The sequence below is a fragment of the Homo sapiens genome, chromosome 2 (assembly GCF_000001405.40).
Source record: "Homo sapiens chromosome 2, GRCh38.p14 Primary Assembly".
Taxonomy (NCBI): domain Eukaryota; kingdom Metazoa; phylum Chordata; class Mammalia; order Primates; family Hominidae; genus Homo; species Homo sapiens.
Window position 1 is genome coordinate 1,955,461 of NC_000002.12, and position 23,132 is coordinate 1,978,592.

Below are 23,132 nucleotides of genomic sequence, written 5' to 3' on the forward strand. Positions count from 1 at the left end.
CTACACTCTATCCAGGCAAAATATGCCTCTCTAGAGAGATCATTAAGCTTATTAAATATGCATTTTCTAGCAAGTTAGTGCAAGCAAAATACAAGCTGTTGCTCCACATAGATTTCCAAAGTTGCTCAATAGTTTAATGGGCATCAGGCTACAAATAATAAACCTTAAGACTTGGTTATTATAAAGAGGATTAAGAACGTTTGCTCCATGGTATCTCCCCAATTTTAATTTCTGTGGCAATGGTCAGTTACAAGCTGCCATGTCTGCACTTTTTTGTTGAAGCATAACCTTATAACTGAACCCATCTGTCCTGGGATGCCTATATGGTGTTTGATAATATCTTGGCTGGACACAGCTATTCTTATCCTATTTATGTACTTTTCAAATGACCATTAGAAATACTTGTCCAAGGAAAACCCATGAGATTTCTTAATTGTGCATGCTGCCCCACTCTAAAGTCACCACATGTGGAAATATAGCTTAGGTTGTATATTTAATAGAGCTTAATATGACTGCTTTTGTTATGTTTGTCATGGATATGATGTTCCAAGCTGTAGATCTTCATCATCCCTAGTTCTATGTATCTATGTATCTATCTATCTATCTACCTATCATCTATCTATCCATCTTTGTATCTACCTACCTATGACTTATCTACATGTCTTTCTACCTACCTATGTCTATCTACCTATTTTACCATCTATCTGTCTGCCTGTTCATTTACCTAGCTGTCTATCTATCTATCTATCTATCTATCTATCTATCTGTCTATCATCTATCTATCCTATTCTATATTTCCTATTCTATCTGTCTATCTACCTATCTATCATCTATCTATCCTATTCTATATTTCCTATTCTATGTGTCCTATTCTATATTTCCTATTCTATCTATCTATCTATCATCTATCCTATTCTATATTTCCTATTCTTTCTATCTGTCTGTCTATCTATCTATCTATCTATCTATCTATCTATCTACCTATCATCTATCTATCCTATTCTATATTTCCTATTCTTTCTATGTGTCCTATTCTATATTTCCTATTCTATCTATCTATCTATCTATCTATCTATCTATCTATCTATCATCTATCCTATTCTATATTTCCTATTCTATCTATCTATCTATCTATCTATCTATCTATCTATCTATCTATCTACCTACCTACCTATCTAGCTATCTATTTATCTATCTATCATCTATCTATCATCATCATCATGATTACCTGTCTATCTTCTTTCTAAACTTGACAAGTTGACAAGTTGACAAGAGATATAAGTTGACAAGAGATATAATATTTTCTTGTGACAGATAATACTGGTTTTGGACAGGCAGTTCTTCTCACACAGTAATCTAGTGAAAAGCAAAAAAAAAAATCCATGTGTTTCAGATGGAAATGGGGTAGAATCTTACAGGAAAGGTGTCTTGAGGACAAGTTCAAAATATCCATTGTGCTTCCTCCTTCTAGAGTCTGTGTTCTCTAATTCAGTATCTCCATTCCATCTGTCTGCAGCCCGTGGCTCTGTGTGAGCAGGAAGGGGTCCTCAGGGCCATGAGGATGCCTCATGTGGCTGGGACACTGGTTGTGCCCAGTCCAGTTTCTAACCAGAGGTGTATGGCAGAGTGCCGGGCACAGGGAGGGGTGCTGCATGTCACAACAAGCACCTGCTCCATTGAGATAGGGTTCACTGGGCGCGTGGCTTGAGTGTGAGGCCATGAGATGTGAGTGCATGTCTATCCATCTATCATCTATGCACCTGTCATCTCATCTACCATCCATCTACTCTGTTATCTTTTTTTGAAAGTTTAAAAAAATTTTCAATAGTTCTTGGGGTATGAGTGGTTTTGGTTACGTGCATTAAGTTCTTTCATGCTGATTTCTGGGATTTTAGTGGACCTGTTATCTAAGCAGTATATGCTGTACCCAATATGTAGTCTTTTATCCCTCCCCCTCCCCCACTCTCCCAACCTCCTGCTCAGAGTTCCCAAAGCTCATTAGATTGTTCTTACGCCTTTGCGTCTTCATAGCTTAGCTCCCACTCACCTACCTCTGTCATCTTTCTATCAATCTTCCCCACTCTATCATCTCTCCCTCTCCCCATCTATCAATCACCTATCATCCATCTATCTATCTATTATCTATCTATCTATCTAATCATCTATCAGCTGTCATCTATCTATCGTTATCATCTATAATCTATCAATCTATCTGTCATCTATGAATTACAGAGGTGCAGCAGTGGGCAGCTCTTCCTTCCTCCTTGGCACCAGCTTCTGAGATGAAGGTCGCCGAGCATTTATTTCTCTCTGCTGATTCCTCAGAAGCCTCCCAGTCTCCAGGGAGCACCAGAGAAAAATCATCCTGCAGTGCACACCTGGCACACAATAGGTCCTCAGTGTGTTATTTATTTTTTGTTTTTGTTTTAATGACCATATCACTCATTTAAGGTGAACGACGAGCTGTTTTGCTGAAAAGGCTTCAACCCATTTCCAGCTGGGCCCCAAGCAGGGAGTGTCTGATAAGGCAGAGGGAAGCTCACGCATGCCCCCAATGCTTCCCCTCCTTGCCCAGTGGAAAATGCATGCGTTTTTGCTGGAGTGTCTTCAAATGCAGCCATGCCTGGTCACTGCACTTGTCGCTAAGGTCTGAGTTGCAGAACATTTTTTTTTTCTGTTTTAGAGAAATGCAATATTGCTTCCTTCATGTCTGCGCAGAAAACTTGCTGAGGGAGCTGGAGGAAGAGGAGGTGGCTACTGCAGATGGAACCCAGACAGCTGGAGGACGAGGATGTGGCCACTGCAGATGGAACCCAGAGAGCCGGAGGATGAGGAGGTGGCTACTGCAGATGGAACCCAGAGAACCAGAGGAAGAGGAGGTGGCCACTGCAGATGGAAACCAGGGAGTTGGAGGATGAGGATGTGGCCACTGCAGATGGAACCCAGGGAGCGGGAGGACGAGGATGTGGCCACTGCAGATGGAACCCAGATAGGGTTGCTTTATCACTACAGGTGTTAGGTGACTCATTTGTCATAGGAAAGGGCTCATCAGATCCTCAAGCGGCCTCAGCTGTTTTCTGGAATCGGGGGGCCTTGAAGAGGTGTCTCAGGGTCCTCTGGGCAAGCTGGCCAGGGCTCCAGGAGCTGCTGCCCTCCGTCAGAGCCGCTCTGTGCTGCCTGCTTTCTACACTCGTGATCCCGGTTCCATGGGGGCTGTTCACTGTGAGAGGTGGGGGCTCAGCCGGCCCACCCGACTGCAGAGGCCCCTTCTTCTAGGATTCTCCGGCCCACCCAACTGCAGAGGCCCCTTCTTCTAGGATTCTCTGGCCCAACCGACTGCAGAGGCCCCTTCTTCTAGGATTCTCTGGTTTTCCGGCTGTTCACTATGCTATGAGAGGTGGGGGCTCAGCCGGCCCACCCGACTGCAGAGGCCCCTCATTCTAGGATTCTCTGTAGGATTCCCCAGTGTTTCCTTCAACAGCTCTTATTGCAAGGGGCTTCCTCTTGGATTTCATTTGGAAATAGGTCAGTCTCATAAATTATAAAACATCAGTCACAAAAAAGAATCGGTGGGGAGCTTGAATCCCTCTGGGGATGTCAGCGTCTTGGTGTTTGATAAATGCTAATAGAATGCATGATGACATCAACAATCAATAGGTGTCAGATCATCTCATAGCTGTGAAAAAAAACAAAATGAAACCTGCCACGAGAAGGCTGGACACAATGTTAAGGTGGAGAGTTTGAGAAGCCATGCGGATCTGCTCTTTCCAGATCATGCTCCTGGGCTTCCTGGTCCACGTGCCTTAAGATACAGCCAGGAACGAACATCTGCTCCTTCGGAGAAGACCAAACTCAGACCGTCTGGATGTGAAAGTCCCTCCTGGAGAGCGGAGACAGGCCTGTGACCTCTCAGACCGTCTGGATGTGAAAGTCCCTCCTGGAGAGTAGAGACAGGGCTGTGACTTCAGGGGTCACAGTCCAGCATCTGGTACATCTGGGCACTCAGAGAAGCATCTGATTGGCTGGCATGGATTTGTGGACATGAGATGTTTTCTTATGCCTCCGTGCCTTCATGCAAGGTCCTCCCTCAGCCTGGAATCCCACACACCTCCTCCCAGTCAATTCTATAGCTCCTTCAAAGGTCAGCAGGAGGGTCTCCTCCCTTGGGAAGCCCCTGGCTACCTGCAGAGAATGGAGCTATGCCCCCGCTCCATCCCTCTGCCCCTCACACACCTCCTTTACAGCTCTCAGTGCACCATGACACATTTGTGCTCAGATAGAGATGCTGCACATTCTTTGAATCAGCTCTCTTCCCGCATGGGACACGGTCCTCTGTCCACAGTGCAGCCACATACGGTGTGGAGGCCATGAATATTAGGATGTAATCAAGAGGGCTTCCATGAAGGCAAAGCCATCATATCTTATTATGAATTATACATTTAGATAGAAGAAGACCTAGTGCCATCCATTGGCATGCAGCAAATGATCTTATTTATATATTTTCAGTCATTTGTCCTACTATTTATTATCTTTTTATTTCATAGGTAGTAACATTTTCCAGGAAGCATTTAAAGACTGGCCCCCATGAGCTGTATTGTAAGATGGAGCACACGGGAGATGAAACCTCAGAGGATTTATCTGTCTTCTGGGGAGCTGGTACAATCTACCTGGGAAGAAATTGTCTACACAGGCAGAAACTGTACAGCAGTGGAAAGACGACATACAAGGCTTTACATGCAGAAAAAGGATATGGCCTCTGAGGAAAAGTGATGATTCCTTGTGTAAAGTAAAACATCACATGGCAACTGAAGAATGCAGAATGTGGACTAGACCTGGAAGAATCCTGGTGCTCATCCGCACTTTACACACATGAAAATACCAAGGACAGGGCGGGGGACGGTGAAGCCCCTTGTCCCAGGCCCTACTTCTAGCTAAAGCCAAAGCTGGGACTAAATAAAAGTATTCTAACTTCCAGTTTTTTCAAAATGTCAAGTTTGAAATTTTTGTGTCCAAGCCATTTATTAAATTAAAGTCAACGTGCTTAGTGTAATGCATTTGTAAGTGGCATGAAGGAAAATAAGACTGATACTGCCAATATTCTGTTTGCCATCCCAGACTCGTCTTAGTCTCCTGCTGAGTGTTTCAGCCACATTAGCAGAGGTCGCACGGGAAAACCTCACCTGCAGCTCAGGAGGCTTCTCCAGGATGCCCATGTCCCTGGGCTTCTCCCACAATGCATCACCTCCCTGGACCCTTCCTTGCATGTCACCTGCAGCTAGAGGCTTCTCTCGGGTGCTCATGTCCCTGGGGCTTCTCTCACAATGCACCTGCCTCCCTGGACCCTTCCTTGCATGTCACCTGCAGCTCAGAGGCTTCTCTGGGTGCTCATGTCCCTGGGGCTTCTCCCGCAGTGCACCCGCCTCCCTGGACCCTCCTGTGCATGTCCCTGAACTTCCAGTGCATGTGTGCATCTGTGACTGTCCATGTTGCACAGATGACATCACACATGCTGCCAAGGCAGGGAGCCATCTCCTTGTCCCTAAACACTGTTTCTGAAAGAGAGCTGTGCGTGCAGTTAGCACTCAACAATTAGTATCGCGGAATACATTTTTAGCAATCTGTAGTATCATATCATCTTCTACCTGACCACAGTAGCCTGTGATCATTTCAAACCTGGCTGTATGTGATTCCCTACCAAATATTGTAATTTCTGAAATAAAACAGCTGGATGAGTTACCTGACAGGTACAATGTACAGTACGCAGGTGACGGTTACACTAAAAGCCAGACTTCACCACCATGCAATGTATCCGTGTCACAAAACCACACTTGTGCCCCTCAATCTATAAAATTAAACAAAAATAAAAATTTAAAAAAGGTATTGACTTGGAAGTCCAGCCCACTATTTACCCACTCCTTCTTGGTCTCACTGAACATTCCCAGGCATGCAAGATCACCTGTGCCACAGTGAGCTGTATCTGTCCCTGGTTAGCCTGTGTGTCTCTAGAAGGCAGGGCTGGTGTCTAAAGCAGTTCTTGCTCAGAACTGACAGCACCTTTGCCTGGCTGTGCATAAGACGCGTGTGCTGGGCCTCTGCCATCGGGCTTCGTGCACCCACACTGGCAGGTTAGAGGTAGGCAGAAAAATATGAAAGGACTCCCAGGCTCTTGCTACACAAACTCTTTTAATAGCCACTTCAGGCCTAAATGTCTATGATTTTAAAATTGAAAGGCACTTTTATACAATGATCCAGACCTAGAACTTGAGTACAGGCAGGCCTCGGAGACGTGGTTCCAAACACTGCAATGAAGTGAACACTGCAATCAAGCAACTCACACAGATGTTTTGGTTTCCCAGCACAATATAAAGGAAGCTGAGTAATGGGTACAAATATACGGTTTGACAGAAGAAATATGAACTAAGGTTAGATAGGTCAGTAGGGTGACTGTAGTTTACAATAATGTATTGTGTATTTCAAAATAGCTAGAAGAGAATAATTTGGATGTTTCTAGCATAAAGACAAATATTTAAGGTGATGTATATCCCAAGTACACTGACTTGATCTCCACGAATTACATGAATGTACTAAATTATCACATGTACTATGAAACTACATACATCTATTACACATTAATAAGATATGAATTGCATTGTCCATCATTCCTGTTAATTTTTAAGATATAAGGTTATAATGTACTAATACCTTGCATGCATTTTTCTATTGCTAGAATGTTAATCTAAAGTAGACTGTGTCTATCACCAGTGTTTGCACAGTTCCTAACCCCAGAGAGGCACAAAAATCAATTGTTGAGTAGGTGTTTAAATAAATACATAAATATTTGACAAAAAGTTATGGAATATTAAATGTGAAATAGTGTTATGTCTAAAAATCAAAGTATATACCTTAATTTAAAAATATTTTATTGCTAAAAAATGAGAACGATCAACCGAGCCTTCAGGGCGTCCTAATCTTTTTGCTGGCGGAGGGTCTTGCCTTGATGCTGATGGCTGCTGACTGATCTGAGTGGTGGTTGCTGAAGCCTGGGGTGGCTGTGGAAATTTCTTAAAATAAGACAAGGAAGTTTCTCACATCGATCGAGACTTCCTTTCAAGAAAGATTTCTCTGTAGCACATGGTGCTATTTGATAGCATTTTACCCACAGTAGAACTTCTTTCAAAATTGGAGTCAGTCCTCTCAAATCCTGCCACTGCTTTATCACCTAGGTTTATGGAATATTCTAAATCCTATGTTGTCATTTCAACAATGTTCACAGCATCTTCACCAGGAGTTGATTTTATCTCAAGAAACCACCTGCTTTGCTCAGCCCTAAGAAGCAACACTTCTAATTCCAGTTCTCTTGCTATTTCCACCACATCTGCAGTGACTTCCTCTGCTGAAGTCTTGAACCCCTCAAAGTCGTCCATGAGGGTTGCAATCAATGTATTCCAAATTCTTGTTAATGTTGACATTCTGATCTCCTGCCATGAATCACGAATGTACTTAATGGCAACTGGAATGGTGAATCCTTCCCATAAGATTTTCAATTTACTATGTCCAGGTCCATCAGAGGAATCACTCTCTATGGCAGATGTAGCCTCATGAAATATGTTTCTTAAATAATAAGGCTCGAAAGTCAAAATTAATCCTGACCCATGGGCTGCAGAATGGATGTTGTGTCTGCAGGCATAAAGCCAACATTCACCTCCTTGTGCATCTCCACCAGTGCTCTTGGGTGCCCAGGTGCATTGCCCATGAGCAGTAAGAAATGAAAGAAAATTTTTTTTCCCCCTTGGGAAGTAGGTCTCAACAGTGGACTTAACATATTTACTAAACCATGCTGTAAACAAATGTGCTGTCATCCAGGCTTTGTTCTTTTATTTATAAAGCACAGGTGGAGTAGATTTAGTATAATTCTTAAGGGCCTTAGAATTTTCAGAATGTAAATGAGCATAAGCTTCAGTTTAAAGTCACCAACTCCATTAGCTCAGAACAAGAGAGACAGCCTGTCCTTTGAAGCTTTGAACCCAGATATTGACTTTTCCTCTCCAGCTATGGAATTCCTAGATGCCATCTTCTTCCAATAGAAGGCTGTTTTGTCCACATTGAAGATCTGTGATTTAGTGTAGCTACCTTCATTAATGATCTTAGCTAGAGGTTCTGAGTAACTTGCTATAGCTTCTCCATCAGCACTTGCTACTTTACCTTGTACTTTTAAGTTATGGAGACAGATTCTTCCCTGAAACCTCATAAACCCACCTCTGCTAGTTTTACACTTTTCTTCTACATCTTCCTTGCCTTACCTTCACAGAACTGAAGAGAGTTACAGCCTTGTTCTGAGTAGCCTCTGGCTTTAGAGAATGCTGTGGCTGGTTTGATCTTCTATCTAGACTGCTCAAACTTACTCAGCAATAGGCTCTCTCACTTTCTTATCATTTGTGTATTCCCTAAAGTAGCAATTTAATTTCCTCTAAGAACCTTCCCTTCACATTCACAAGTCGGCTGTTTGGCACAAATGGCCTAACTTTTGGCCAATATTGGCTTTTGGCACGCCTTCCTCTCTAAGCTTAAGCATTTCCAGCTTTTGATTTAAAGTGAGAGATGTGTGACTCTTCTCTTCACTTGAACACTTAGAGGCCATTGTAGAGTTGTTAATTGGCCTAATTTCAATATTATTGTGTCTCAGGGAATAGGAAGGCCTGAGGAGCAGGGAGAGGTGGTGGACTGGCTGGTTGGCAGAGCAGTTGGAACACACAGCATTTACGGATTAAGTTTACTGTCTTACACGGGCGCGGTTCCTGGTGTCCCCAAACAATCACAGTGGTACCATCAAAGATTACTGACCACAGACGCCATAACAGACATAACAATAATGAAAAGGTTTGAAATATTGCGAGAATTATTGAAACGTGGTACAGAGACACTGAGTGAGCACGTGCTGTTAGAAAAACGGCATTGATGGACTTGTATGGTCAGGGTTGCCACAAACCTTCAGTTTGTACAAATCAGAACTTCACTGCAAACTGCAATAAAGCAACGTGCAATAAACAGGGTGTGCCTGTAATGGCGAAAGTTGCTCTAAGAAAACGCCTCCAAAATACTTTGAATTGTTTATTTTTATTCTTTGATCCAAAGAAAAACAAGGGTAAAATTTTCTACTTAAAAAAAATCTTAACTAGATTTATTTTGTGTTATTATACATTTTTAGATACTATTTAAAAAACAACAGACTGCATTAAGGACCTAAGAATAATATAAATTTCAGGGCTTTGGGTACAAAGAGTGATCCTCAGAGCCCTCCTTATCTCCAGCCTGCACAGTTTCCCTGTCATGGAACACTCACTAAACAGGTGTCTGTGCTTCCGGAAAGGCTTCCAGAGGCAGGTCTGAGGTGTCTGGGACAAGGCCCCTGCTGACAAGGAGCTTGGGGTCACGGGCAAGGAAGACTGACAGCCGTGGGTACAGGAAATCGCCACAAGCAGCACTCACCAAGCAATCCTCACTGTTCTAGGAGAGCCATTCTCCATTTGCCTGGGGTGAAAATGGCTGTGAGAGCTCTCAAATCATCAGTGCCCAGAAAATTAAATTCACCAGAGTATTCCGGTCACCAGCAGCACTACTATGCACAGTTGGGGACTGTTCCCAAGACCCAGGGATCAGGCAGGGAAGAGGGGGACCCAGGCACTCTGTGACTTGCAGGGACCAGGCAGGGAAGAGGAGGACCCAGGCACTCTGTGACTTGCAGGGATCAGGCAGGGAAGAGGAGGACCCAGGCACTCTGTGACTTGCAGGGACCAGGCAGGGAAGAGGGGGACCCAGACTCTGTGACTTGCAAGGATCAGGCAGGGAAGAGGAGGACCCAGACTCTGTGACTTGCAGGGACCAGGCAGGGAAGAGGAGGACCCAGGCACTCTGTGACTTGCAGGGACCAGGCAGGGAAGAGGAGGACCCAGACTCTGTGACTTGCAGGGACCAGGCAGGGAAGAGGAGGACTCAGACTCTGTGACTTGCAGGGACCAGGCAGGAAAGAGGAGGACCCAGGCACTCTGTGACTTGCAAAAGATGAACGCTTTGTTTGGAGGAACCTGGAGTTTATCAGGGATGGGGTAGGCTGGAGACAGAGGGGTCCCATCGCCCCTGCCCTGGCATGTCCCTTTTTCACACGCGGGAAGCCAGAGAAGAGAGTAGGCCATCCCTCTGCCTTTTGGCATCATAGCTGGTGACTGGGCAGATGAAGGCCCCGCCATCATCCTGACCTTAAACCCAAGGCCTCACGAATGCATGTGGGCACCGCGGGCTGATTCAGGATTCAGGAGAGCCGGACAGGGGGATGCACAGATGCCCAGAGCTTGCTGCTGCTTTTCAGTGGCCCTGTCTGGGCAGCGGACAAGGGACTCAGGGAAAGGCTTTGCCTGGCATGCAGAGCAACTGCTCACAGATCCGAGGCTGCCAAGCACCCGTGTGAGACAGTTACGTGCCGGGTGGCCCTGTGAGGGCACCAGGACTGCCTGCTTCACGACGCCCTAGGGCCTGCACTGCGGCTCTGCCTGCTGGCTCTGGGGTCTGGCCACCTAGCTCCCCTTTCAGGCTCCTGTGCTGGGAACAAGAGGCCCTGACACCCCTAGAGGGGCATGAGATCAGTGCTTTCTAATTTCTGCCTGGCAGGAAGCATCACCTCTGCCTGGTGGCCTATTCCTTTATTCAGCTATGGCAAAAACCATGCCCAGGATTAGCCTGGGAGGCAGGGGGCTCCTCTAACGCTGAGTGAGCGAGATCATTCACAGGAAGAAACAGGCATCGCTTGACTTACTCACCACTCTTTCTTCCAGAATTTTCTAGCAAAGGCATTGTTAAATATAATGATCACTCCTTTAAAAACGATCGTTTTAAAAACAAGACAATTCCGGTTTTGAATAAGAAGGAAGCAATTTGAAAATCGTTATATTCTCTATGATCTACAGTAGGATAACAGGGACATCCTTTGATTCCATTGATGTGGGTGTAAACAGGTCTGATCTTCCTGGAGAGAGGCTCTTCTGGAAACAGAACCCTCCATGCCCTCCCCTCCCTCACCCCAGCAATTCTCCTCCTGGTCATTCATCCCAGGGAAGAAACGAAAAGACACAAACATTGTCTGCAAAGATACTTTTCCCACTTTATGCACAATATGGAGATGTTTTATGAAAACTAAATACATTTGAACAATAAAAGAATTGCATAAATAACATTACAGCCACAGGATGAAAGCCAGCCATGAAAATTAAAACTAAAACATTTAATGGGTATTTGGAAACAAGCTCATGTTATAATGTTAAGTGAAAAAAAAAAAGAATACAAAATACAAAAAAATTTACATCGATCATATGAGACTAATTCAGAAAAGAAGAGCAAAACTGTCTTAAAAAATCAGAGGAAAAATCTAGCAGTGGTTACCAATGCCCTGGACGAATGGCACATTGTGACTTTGAAACAATAGATTATTTTTTTTCTCACTTTTTAGCTAGATGTGTTGATACTGGGAAGCAACGACCACCAGTAACTTTTTTTCTTTTTTAAAATTAATTTTATTTCATAGTTTTGGGGGTACAAGTGGCTTTTGGTTACACGGATGAATTGTGACAACAGATACTAATAACAGGCTGTCATCTGCATTATGGGTTCTTTCATCATTTCTAGTCCTCGCTTTAATCCTCAGCAGCCTTTGAGCCAATGTATTTCTTTTGGTTTCTATTGCCAATAATATCCTCTGGGAGAATCAGTGAAGAACATTTAAGAAGCAAACTCCTTTTTAGCTTTTCAGGTTCTAAAGTGTTTCAAATACTGAAAAGCCCCATGGTTGGTGCCCTCTTCCCTATGAGCCCTGTGCTGTGAGTGGGGTTGCGTCCCTGGGGCAGTACCCACCTGGCCTGTCCAGGCTTCAGAGTTCCCTGCATTTGGGGATGTACCCAGATGCGCCCTCTGGGAGACGGCCCGGGGTGAACGCGTGCTAAAGGGCCCTGACTCACTGGTTCAGCCCCGGAATCTCCTTTGCTGCGCCTTCACATCCTCCCCCTTTCCTCCTTTATTAGAAATCAATTTGGGTTAATTTAAGAAGCTTCTCTGCCAAAACCATACTGGCCTCAGGGAAAGTTCAGTTCATTAGTCACTCAAAGCAGGTGCACCTTATTCTAATAATGTGATGAGTGCCTTCTGCGCAGCTGCAGCAGGGACTTCAGGCCTGACTGGAGCTGGAGGAAGAAAAGGTCGTTCCAGGGTGGAAGAGGATGGGGGGAGGGTGTGGCCAAAGAGGGGGTGTTTTGCTGCGCAGGCGAGACGAGGTGCAGCGAGGCCGCAGGCCCCGAGCCCTGCCTGGGAACAGCGAGTGCTTCTGGGACGTTGCTGTTATTACCAGAAGGGCCTCCTGCAGGGGAGGGCAGGAGCCTAGACTCCACTTCCGCAAAGAGTCCTGCTGTCTGTGTGTCCTCAGGGAGCCTGGGAGGAGAGGAGCTTCCTCGGGCCCCTGCACTGCTCCCTGCTCACTGCACCCCAGGAGGGGAGGAGGGGGCAGAAAAGAGAGGAGAGGCCCAAGATCTGCATTCCTGGACACAGTCAACTCCACCCACCTGGCAAGGAGTGGCAAGGAGGCTGTGTCCAGGGTGCTCAGGGAAGCCCAGCCCCAGGGCCCGCAGCTGGGCCCCTCTAGCAGCACCACTCTCTGCTCTCAGATCTTATCCCCGTTGAGGTTGGACTAAAGCTCTGGACTCTCCAGCCTTCCTGACGATAAATGCAGCCATTAGGATTCACTACCCTCTGCCCTCTCCGCATGCCCGCTTCCCTTCCTGGCTCCCCAGAGCGTCTGCACTTCATTCAGAAGCGTGAGAAGCCGCAGGATTGGTCGAGGGAATAACAAGGTGATCCAGGCATCGCTGAATTGCTATGTATTATTTATGAATAAAATTTCTTCCAAGATGTTCATTTTCCCCCTCCTCTCCTCCCTAGAGTTTCAGGAAATGCATCCACGTGTATAGGAAGCCTGTGTCTGGCGATGTCAAGTAGTGCATTAGATAATATTCACGGCCCTGCAGAGTGGCTACCGAATTACAAGGAACGGATCTTTTAAAATCTGTTGTATTATGTAGGGGGAGCTCAGTTTCCCTCAGCAGGAGACAGAGGGTGCGTTTATCTTAAGGATGCAACCAGAGGCTTGCGAAGGCTCACACAGAGCCTGCCAGGCCCCCAGGCAGTCCTTTCTGAATAAGGGTAAAAGAGGGCCCTAGGATCCTACAGGGTCTCTGGGTCGCCTTTGTGGTTGGCTCCTCACTGGGCTCTCTTTAGGCAGAGGCTGCACGGCACACACAGCCAGGCGGCCACAGTGCCTTGCTCTCTCAGACCCCATCCTGTCCACTGGGGATATGTGGATGGCAGGTGGGCGGGGGCGGCTCTGAGTGACCCAGAGCCTCTGGGCCCCTCCTGCGTGTGCAGCAGAGGCCTGGCCCCCTAGGTGCTTCTGGGGCACCCCAGAGCAGGCCAGGCTGAGTCCAGAGAAGCTGCTGCCCCATAGTCCTCACCCCACTCCAAAGCGGCTGTCCCTTTCTCAGAAAAATATAGCCTCCTGCACAGTTCTTAAATACTGCCTTGCTTGCCAGCTACATCAGTCCACGGTATGAACAGAAGTGAAACAGAAGTCCCTGATTAGAAATCACCCTCCAGCACCACTGGCTTTTTCTCACCCTGTGAAGGCACTGGAAGCAGGACTACAGTGATGCTGGGCCCCGGCGGGGGATGCGGGCAGGTGGGAGGAGCTGTGGGAACGCCCCACCACCGTTATGCGGACCCCAGGTCTGTGAGCTGCAGGCAGAATGCGTGCTGGTCTTCAGATTTGTCTATGCCGTTGGCTCTGTGTGTGAGTTGCTCACCCAGAATAAATTCCTCCTGTTCCCATTATCTAAAAATGCTGTCTCATTAGGAGTCCAGGCCTGTTTGTTGGCCACGATTCTCAAACTCAGGCAGCATCAGAATCAACCCTCTGGAGGGGTGGCTAAAACCCAGATTGCCGGTGCCAGCCTTAGCTTCTCACTTAGCTGGTCCCAGGTGACGCTGATGTTCTGGATCAGGGAACCCCACTTGGGGAACCCCGGCTCTAGGAAGGCGGCCCCGCCTCCCACTCTGGACGGGGCTTAAAGGTTCTGAGGATGTCTGACTTGCTTGTCAGTGGCACTCAGGAATGGCTGTGGGACCCTGGTTGTTGGTATCTCTGTAAATCCTCTTTTCTTCAGGGAGCTTCCAGAAAGGCCTTCCTGCAGCCCTCTCTGGACACTGAGGGCAGCTGTCCAGCCAGGAGTGGCCACAGCCTTCTCCCACAACAGAGGTGAACACAGCAGGAGGTGCAGGAGGATGGAGCAGAAGGCCTGAGTTAAGTCATCCTCGGCACTTCCTCTCAACATGCAGTTCAGGAAAGACAGTGATTCGGTGTTGTTCAGGCCAGTTTGAGGTGGGTTTCCAGGTACTGCAGGCAGCAGCATCCTAAGTCACACTGAATCTTCCAGATGAAAACACCAGTATCTTATTGAAGCAACGTTATGACCAGGGGATTGTTTCTTTCCTCTAAATCTTTACTAATTTTGGCAGGAAGAGAATATGGAAATTGGCGTTTCAGTCCTATTTTGGGGTCTAACCCTGAAAGCGCTGTTCTCTTTGGGGCAGGCCAGAGGGGACAGAAGAAACATCCACTTCCCAGAGCCGGACTCAGGAGGGTCCTCATGATTACTGCCCGCTCTCCTCAAGTTGTGCCTGTGAGTGACACTGGTAATAAGAGCAGGTGGACAGCCCCAGATAGGGGACTCGAAGAGCCGGGTCCCAGCGATGCTCATGAACCTGGCTACTCCAGAAGTATTTGCCGTGAGTGCAGATTCCAGGCCCTCACTGTACCCAGGATAGTCTTCTGAGCCAGCTTAGATGGGTGTGGTGAGAGGACTCTCATACTTTCAGCCCCAGCCCCCATCTCACCAGCCATCCTTGCTTCTCTAATGAGTGGGGTGCACACCCCTGAGTAGTTGCAATGGACAGAGATCTCCACAGAGGAGCTCATGGTGTCCATGAGAGGGGCATCCCGTGGTCGGCAGAGGCTCCAGGCACACAGGGCAGAGAGCTGGCTCAGGGTTCCCGGGGGCTCTGTGGTTGTGCTTTGTGGCTGCGGGGAATTGCACAGCTGGGCCACTGTCACATCAGGACTCCCTCTCTCCACACTTCAAGATCTCCATAGCGGCTGCCCTGCCTTTTCTAGAATCCCCACATGGATGAGGGTGGTGAGAACTGAACTGTGGTGTTTCAGTGGGTAAACCTCAGACAACAGCTGTACTGCACGCAAATTTCTTCTGTGTATTCTGTTGATGTTCCCAAGTTCCCAAATTGTATATTTTTTAATTATTAGTTCAAGAAATCAGAACAAGATTATAATTGTGAAATCTGGCCTTGACCAATACAGGTCATATACATTACAGACTGTTCATCAGTATACTTATTGTTTTCAGTGCCCTATCTGAAAATAACTATGTTCCTTCTCCTTGAATTGGAATTATTTAAAAAATATATCTCCTTTTACCAAATGTCAAAAATAAGCTGTAAGCCCAGCATTCTGAGAGACTGAGGTGGGAGGATCACTTGAACCCAGGAGTTCTAGGCTGCAGTGAGCTATGATCAGGCCACTGCACTCCAGCCTGGGGGAACGGGGTGAGACTCTGTCCCTTTAAAAAAATTAAAATAAATAAAATCATGCTCTAAGATGCATTACATGCTTTGCATGTATTAAATCCACCGAATTAATCATGTTGCATTCACAATACAACAACACAGGCCATGCCCAGAGGTGTGTCTCCTGGGGCTGACGCACTACAGACAGGCACCAGGCAAACTACTTTCTTTAGGATGATGGCCAGGTGTTCATTTTGTACACAGAAGACTTACTGTGACAATAAAGGTTGACTGCAACCACCACCCAAAAGAGAAGGCTTTGGGCCGGGCACAGTGGCTCATGCTTGTAATCCCAGCACTTTGGGAGGCTGAGGCAGGCAGATCACCTGAGGTCAGGAGTTCAAGACCAACCTGGCCAACATGGTGAAACCCCATCTCTACTAAAAATACAAAAATTAGCCAGGCGTGGTGGCATGCACCTGTAGTCCCAGCTACTCAGGAGGCTGAGGCAGGAGAATTGCTTGAACCTGGGAGGCGGAAGTTGCAGTGAGCTGAGATCGTGCCACTGCACTCCAGCCTGGGCGACAGAGCGAGACTCCATCTCAAAAAACTAAACAAAACAAAAGAAAAAACAAAAGAGGAGGCCTGAATTTTGTGTCTGCAAATCCTATGGGTACTCAGGCCTGAATTTTGTGTCTGCAAATCCTATGGGTACTCAGGCCTCTGAGCAACAGCAAGCCTGGACGTCACCTGTTTGATTCTCTTCTTCACCCAAGTAAACCCCTAGACCTCAAAATCTTGGCTCCATGTGCAACTATGCCATGCTATCAAACTAATGTTATAATATGCATGCCCTATCTTCTGATTTATAATATCAGTGATGAATAGTACAAGGACGGGCGTGCATAAAGCTTACGGGGAGGGTGTGGGGGTGAGGCGTACACAATGTGTCTCATAAAGAATGAAGGAGAGCTATTTATTCTCACGGATTCATGGAGTAAAGCACAGATAGCCTGGTTTGGAGGCTGCGTGCACAGAATTTTTCATAAATATCCCACAGTGTACCCCATTGTACAGCAGCCACACGTTAATTAGAGCATTCAGCAGACACTGCAATGTATTCCACGCACCCAAGTGGATCTTCATTTTTCACATGCAGGGCCTTACTAATTAAAATCAGTTTTGCAATTAAATGTGGAAAATTGTGTTAAACTTTCAAGCGTGGTTAGAAAAAAATGCAATTATTTTTAGGATATTTTATTTTAATGCAAATGAAATTTCTATCTATGTGAAACTGGTAAAGGGGAGATATAGGAACTCCTATTTTTCTCTCTGTCTTCCTCTCTGTTTCTTCTTTTTTTATTTATTTTTGGATTATAGATGCTCCTCTCAGTTGCAAGTTGCAATGCTCCACATCTCTCAGCCAGCACCTGGCTCTGTTCCAGGGCTTTTAGTGAGTGCTCTCTGTCAAGGCATGAATAATACAGCCCCTAGGCTGTTGGCAGACTCCAAATGAGGCGTGCATACATCAGGAAGCAAGCCCTTGACTTTAGCTCCAGAACAGCCTCCTGTGAAGACAGGCAATTATTCACCACGCTGTGCCATGGCACCCACACTGGCAGGCAAGAGGCGTGCGGAATGGAGAGGGGGTCTGAGTGAGGGTGTGTGCCGCAAGCCAGAGGGACCCCAGTCATGTTCTAATGAAAAGGAAAAGCCATCACTTGGAGATTTTAATTTTTAAGTTTCAAATGAAATGATTTGACTCAGTGTACCCTACATTGGGAAGGATTTGAATGTACTACCAATACCCATCACCTAACTTTCGGGTGTTTATTGAGTGTACAAAGACTCTGATGCTAAATTGCAGGGTTGGAACCCTAAGTTCAACAAACAAATCATTAAAACAGTCCAGTGAAGGTTAAATGGGAATAAAATCCATTACATTTCAGAAATAAATTCAGAGGGATCACAAAACAGACATGTGAGGAATGAGGCCTTACTAGGAATTTCCTCTCTCTCTCTCTGGTGAATTGGCAGCTTATACAAAAATCACCATTTGGAAATAAGTGTGTCCAATTCATTCCAAATGTCTTAGCATGTGTATCACTGTTGCAAGGAAGGTTAAAATTCAAATTTCTGTAATCAGTTAATAGTAATCTGTAATAAATATTAACAAATTTTGATTATTCCTATTTCTAATTTTTATTGGGAAATTTTAGGAAAAAGGATTTCAGAACAGCAAGTTGACCATTATTTTGATGATTAAATTTCGTTTCTATAGATTCCATTCTAACCACTAACTTGCACTTTGTTTTTAACACAAACAGTATTTTATATCAACATGCAAAGCCAAAAAAAACCTGAATATAAGGCACTAGAATTTTTCATCTTAGTCAAATGTTCAAAAATAGATTATTGCAGACATGTTGACATGCGATATTTTAGCTGGAATGCCAGCATCAGTTCATGAAATATTCTGGATGAATAACAACGTCTCTTTAGCAGGTACTTGAGCCCCACTAAACAATCACCTACACAGACAGAGAGGAAGGTGTGGTTTCTTTCAATGTATCCCTGCCCTTCAGGAGATAGCAGGCTTTGGTGTGAGGATGCTGCCAGGAAATGCTGAGCCTCCAGGCCTCACCCCGTGATGCTTCCCCTGCTCAGGTGTCTGCATTAGGCAATGAGCTCAGTAGCAGCAGATGCAGCTCCCCAGGCCTCCCACACCAATGCAGCGTTGCTCAAACCACGCACTTTGGGCAGATTCACCCCACTTATCTCCACGGGGCCTTCCCAGCCAGCAAACTGCTACGAGGGTGAGGAGAAGAATATGCAGCAGCTTCCTCAATGTCAAGGTTGGTGACTTCCTAGTAGGCCACTGTTTTCCTTCCATCTATCCACAAAACAATAGCGGACGGTACACCGGGACAGCTTCTGTCTTCCATGTTTTAAATGCCTGGAGGCCACACCAGGCTGACTTGCACAGTTGGGAGACTGCAACACAGGGACTTACTCTTCCTTGATATTGGGGACCGAAACTAAATCTTGGGATACTCACTTAGGATGACTGAGGTTTGCTTTGTGAGCTTGGTGGCTGGACACCAGGTTTGAGGCACCAGTGCCCCCGGCCACCTCTGAGTGTGGTGTGGGGAACATGGAGGTGCTCGGAGCAGCTGAATGGGCTGAGCCACGTGTGCAGCCATCTAACAATGGGCGCAGAAACACAGGTGACCATGTGCAGGAAAGACCACATGAGCACGTTCACTCGTGATGTAAGCATTACTTCTAGCCCTGCTTATAAAATTCACCGTGTTTTTGTCATTTATATGCTAATATCACAAGACAAAAACCTCAGTTGGGAAAAGCAAAAGGCAAATTCAGGTGACTGGCTAATAATGACGTTTCTGAAGATAAATATTTGTCATATTTGTTAGCTTCCTAGGAGGTCTGGCCTGATGACCTGTATCAGGGCCCAAAAATGTTGAGTAAGCTTGGATCCCTGCTGGGCAATGTGTGGGATGGAAACAGTTTTCCTTCGCTGCCAAGAGTGTCTGCGTCTCTAAGGAGCTGACTTAATGCTTTTATCAGATCCTGGAACTCTGTCCTTCGCCTTTCTCACTGGTTCCTTGGTAGCCAAGAGACCCAGAACAAAATGTAACACCACATTAAGACCCCCGATGTATCCTGAGTTTTCAGTAAAATTAGGTGATCATTTTCCTTATGTTGTTCCAAATTTATATTTTGATTTAAGGTTTACCATTGTAGTTGTACATAGGCTTATCAGTTATTTCAAATTCTTCATAAACTATTAACACCAGTAAATAACTACAGAGATTATCTTTTGTTCAAAGACAGGATTTGGAAATTAATGTAGAACATCCAATAAAATAAATATTATAACCTTACTCCTACCAAAAAATTTTAACCAGAGTTTTAAATCATAAACTCCTTTTTAAAATTATTTTCTTTCCCAGGTATTAAGCACTGGTTGATCCTCCTCTATTCTCAATTTCGTACAAGCCCGTAACTATACAACAATCACACTAAAAAAAAAATCCACTCCAGCCACTTTCAAAGAGACCCAGAACACCACTGAGGAGGCGTGGCTCACCAAACAGACTGCCAGATCCCACTGCCAGATCCCACAGCTTTCTGAGACCCACAGCAGATCCCGCAGCTGTGGCAGAGAGGGTGACGTATGGCCCCCAGAAACTACCATAGCGTCTGTCCTACAAAGCAATAAAATTGTAAACTACAATTGTGAGAAACATTTGATTTCCTTAAAAATCTCTTATGTTGAAAATTAAAGACTAAATGGCAGGCTGGGCATGATGGCTCATGCCTGTAATCCCAGCATTTTGGGAGGCTGAGGTGGGCAGATCACTTGAAGTTAGGAGTTCGAGACCATCCTGGCCAACATTGTGAAACCCCATCTCTACTAAAAATACAAAAATGATCTGGGTGTGGTGGCATGCGCCTGTGATCCCAGCACTTTGGGAGGCTGAGGCGGGTGGATCACTTGAGGCCAGGAGTTCGAGAGCACCCTGGCCAACATGGTGAAACCCCACCTCTACTAAAAATACAAAAATTAGCTGGGCGTGGTGGCGCACACTTGTAATCCCAGCTACTTGTGAAGCTGAGGCAGGAGAATCACTTGAACCTGGGAGACAGAGGTTTCAGTGAGCTTAGATTGTGCCACTGCACTCCAGCATGAGTGACAGAGTGAGACTCTGTCTCAAAACAAAACTAAACTAAATGGCTGGCATCATTTTATTACTTGGTATTCCTTTCCTAAAAAAGAAAAATTGATTTTTTACATTGCTGATGCCCTACATCTACCTCAAGTTGTTTTTGGCAAGTTCCAATACATCAACACCTCAAAGTACTGAAATACAACTTTTTACTTGGCTATTGCTGATGCAGTGTATGAGCAAAATGAACTTGTAACCTTAACATAAACACATTCATTGGAAACATTTATTGTTAAAAGACCAAAAAAAAAAAAAAAAAAAGACATGTAATTTCATCAGAACCAAAACGGAGGCTTCTACTCTTTTGTCCTATTTAGAAGAAGCCTGGTGTCCTATTCCCATCAGGAACCTGACAGCAAATGCCAGCATCACAGCTGTGTTCACAGAGGGTGTGCCGGCATGAATGGGCAAGAATAGCTGTCAGGAAGGGATAGCTTTCATAGTCAGCAAATCTTTCAAAACCAGTAAAAAAACAATGCCAGGGCCAGGCGAGGTGGCTCACGCCTATAATCCCAGTACTTTGGGAGGCCGAGGCGGGCGGATCACCGGAGATCAGGAGTTCGAGACCAGCCTGGCCAATGTGGTGAAACCCTGTCTCTACTAAAAATGCAAAAATTAGCTGGGTGTGGTGGCGGGTGCCTGTAATCCCAGCTACTCTGGAGGCTGAGGCATGAGAATACCTTGAACCCAGGAGACAGAGGTTGCAGTGAGCCAAGATTGTGCCACTGCACTCCAGCCTGGGCAACAGAGTGAGACTCCATATCAAAAAAACAAAAAACCAGGCAGATATAACGGAAAATTTCCAAATTTAAAACAGCAATAGTCATAGATGTTAATATATCCATGAGTCTTACCTAATACATCAAGGGACACTTCTTAAGTTTAAGAAATTAAAATTTTTCTTGATACATAGACATCAAATAATAAGGCTTAGAAAACGCTCAGTGAGAGTCCTCTTAAGAGAAGGCTCACACAGTGACAACATTTTTGCACCGTTTTACATAATAAAGTCTGCAACCCTCTTATTTTAGAACAGAGGAAACTGAAGGCTGTAGACGTTACGTAAGTTGTCCAGAGCTACTGGTCCATTAGTGATGTAGTGGAAGCTAGCATCTGGGCCAAGTAACCGGGAAATAGTTCTTTTTCAACTATACCACATTAGATGTTCTAGATAACTGAGTGCATTAAAATATTTGGTGTTCTAATAATTACATACCATATGAGCCATGGTAAAAATGATGATTTTTAAAAAATTAAGCAAAAGTTTATTGGAAACAGCTCTTGGCCCGAGAGCTTCCATGACTCCTCCCTAACATCCCAGCGAATGGGTTCCTCTGAGACTCAGGCACTTCTGCACTAATGAGTCAGTGGCAAGTTTCCGAAGGAAGAAAAAGCCCAACTTGTTTTCAAATCAAACTCTAGGGAACATTTCTGAAGCAGGGAAAGAGATCTCATGAACAGATCCACACACACATTACATGGGACACATAAATTCATTTCTTAGTGAAATGCACCTTGGTTAAGCATATGAATGCTTGAAATTATTTGGAAACGTCACGATTTTTCCTGCAAAACTATGGCTATAAAATTATATCTAGCTCACACCTCATTACAACTTTTTATAATTGTACCTTTAAAAATATGTAAAAGAGGATATTTAGATTGTTTGTAACACAAAGGATAAATGCTTGAGGGGATGAAGATTCCATCTTTCACAATGTGATTATTTCACATTGTATGCCTGTATCAAAATATCTCATGTACCCCCTAAGTATATACACCTACTATGTACACATAAAAATTAGAATAAACATTTTAAGAAACTTTTTAGCCAAATTTAATTTTTATATAACAGTGTGATAAAGTTTAACTACTGACTAATGAAGAGATGATTAGGGGAAAATGAATTTTTCTCATGGGTGACTAACTTCTTTTGAAAACATAAACAATGCAGTGTTTTAGACTTTTAGATTAAATGCTGACATATATATTTCTTCATAAAATAATACTTTAAGTAAACTACTTATTTCAATTATGTAATTCAATAATTTACTATTTTATACAATAACAATCATAATGTAATTGACTAAATTTAATAATTGAAATTGCAAAATTATCTGAAAAATAGCCCACAATTCCTTTGATCTGTAACAGAGGAAGTCAGACAATTGTTTCGTGGGGTCTCTCATTAGACATTCTTGCCTCCACAAATGCTAGAATGGGGATTTGGGAGTAATTTGTAATTTTTCCTTTGATTTTACTAAAGAACAATCAAAATAATTGCTGGATGTCACTCGTAAGCTAATGTTTCACTAAAAAGGAAATGGAATGCAAGGCCGTGAGGAGAGGCCTCCCAGATGTGCGGCAGATGCACCCGCTTTAGAATCAGTTTTGTGACCTGGGTCTGCTCACTGAGGGTTTGTTAGGCTGGAATGACCTTGGTCTTTGCAATCTAATTTGTAAAAGTAAAACATACTTTAGCCTGTAAACTCTTTTACCTCACTATAATTGAAACCTTTCTATTGAAAGACACATCTTCATGAATAGCTTAGGGAAAAAATGCTTACCAGAAAAACATCTAAAGGACTGATGTGTACCTGACAGTCAGCCACGGGCATGTAACATATAATTCTGCCATGACACATTTTGAGCAATCATCACCTTCCCCTTAGTTTCTAAAGGTTTTCCACCCCATCCCTGTCGCAGACCTGAAAT

The 23,132-nt window shown here is 44.8% G+C and overlaps 1 protein-coding gene across 32 annotated transcripts in view, besides 2 other annotated features; it reads right to left on the minus strand.

The window, feature by feature from the left end:
- The window catches only part of MYT1L (myelin transcription factor 1 like), a 542,163-nt gene that overhangs the window by 166,348 nt on the left and 352,683 nt on the right, over positions 1 to 23,132 (minus strand). The window lies entirely within an intron of this gene.
- Positions 9,963 to 10,484: an enhancer, noted in NCBI's record as "H3K4me1 hESC enhancer chr2:1969195-1969716 (GRCh37/hg19 assembly coordinates)". NCBI's record gives its function as "activates a minimal SCP1, AML or CMV promoter by ChIP-STARR-seq in naive H9 embryonic stem cells {active_cell/tissue: H9 hESC(naive)}" and the evidence as "EXISTENCE:reporter gene assay evidence [ECO:0000049][PMID:30033119]".
- Positions 18,613 to 19,113: an enhancer, noted in NCBI's record as "H3K4me1 hESC enhancer chr2:1977845-1978345 (GRCh37/hg19 assembly coordinates)". NCBI's record gives its function as "activates a minimal SCP1, AML or CMV promoter by ChIP-STARR-seq in primed H9 embryonic stem cells {active_cell/tissue: H9 hESC(primed)}" and the evidence as "EXISTENCE:reporter gene assay evidence [ECO:0000049][PMID:30033119]".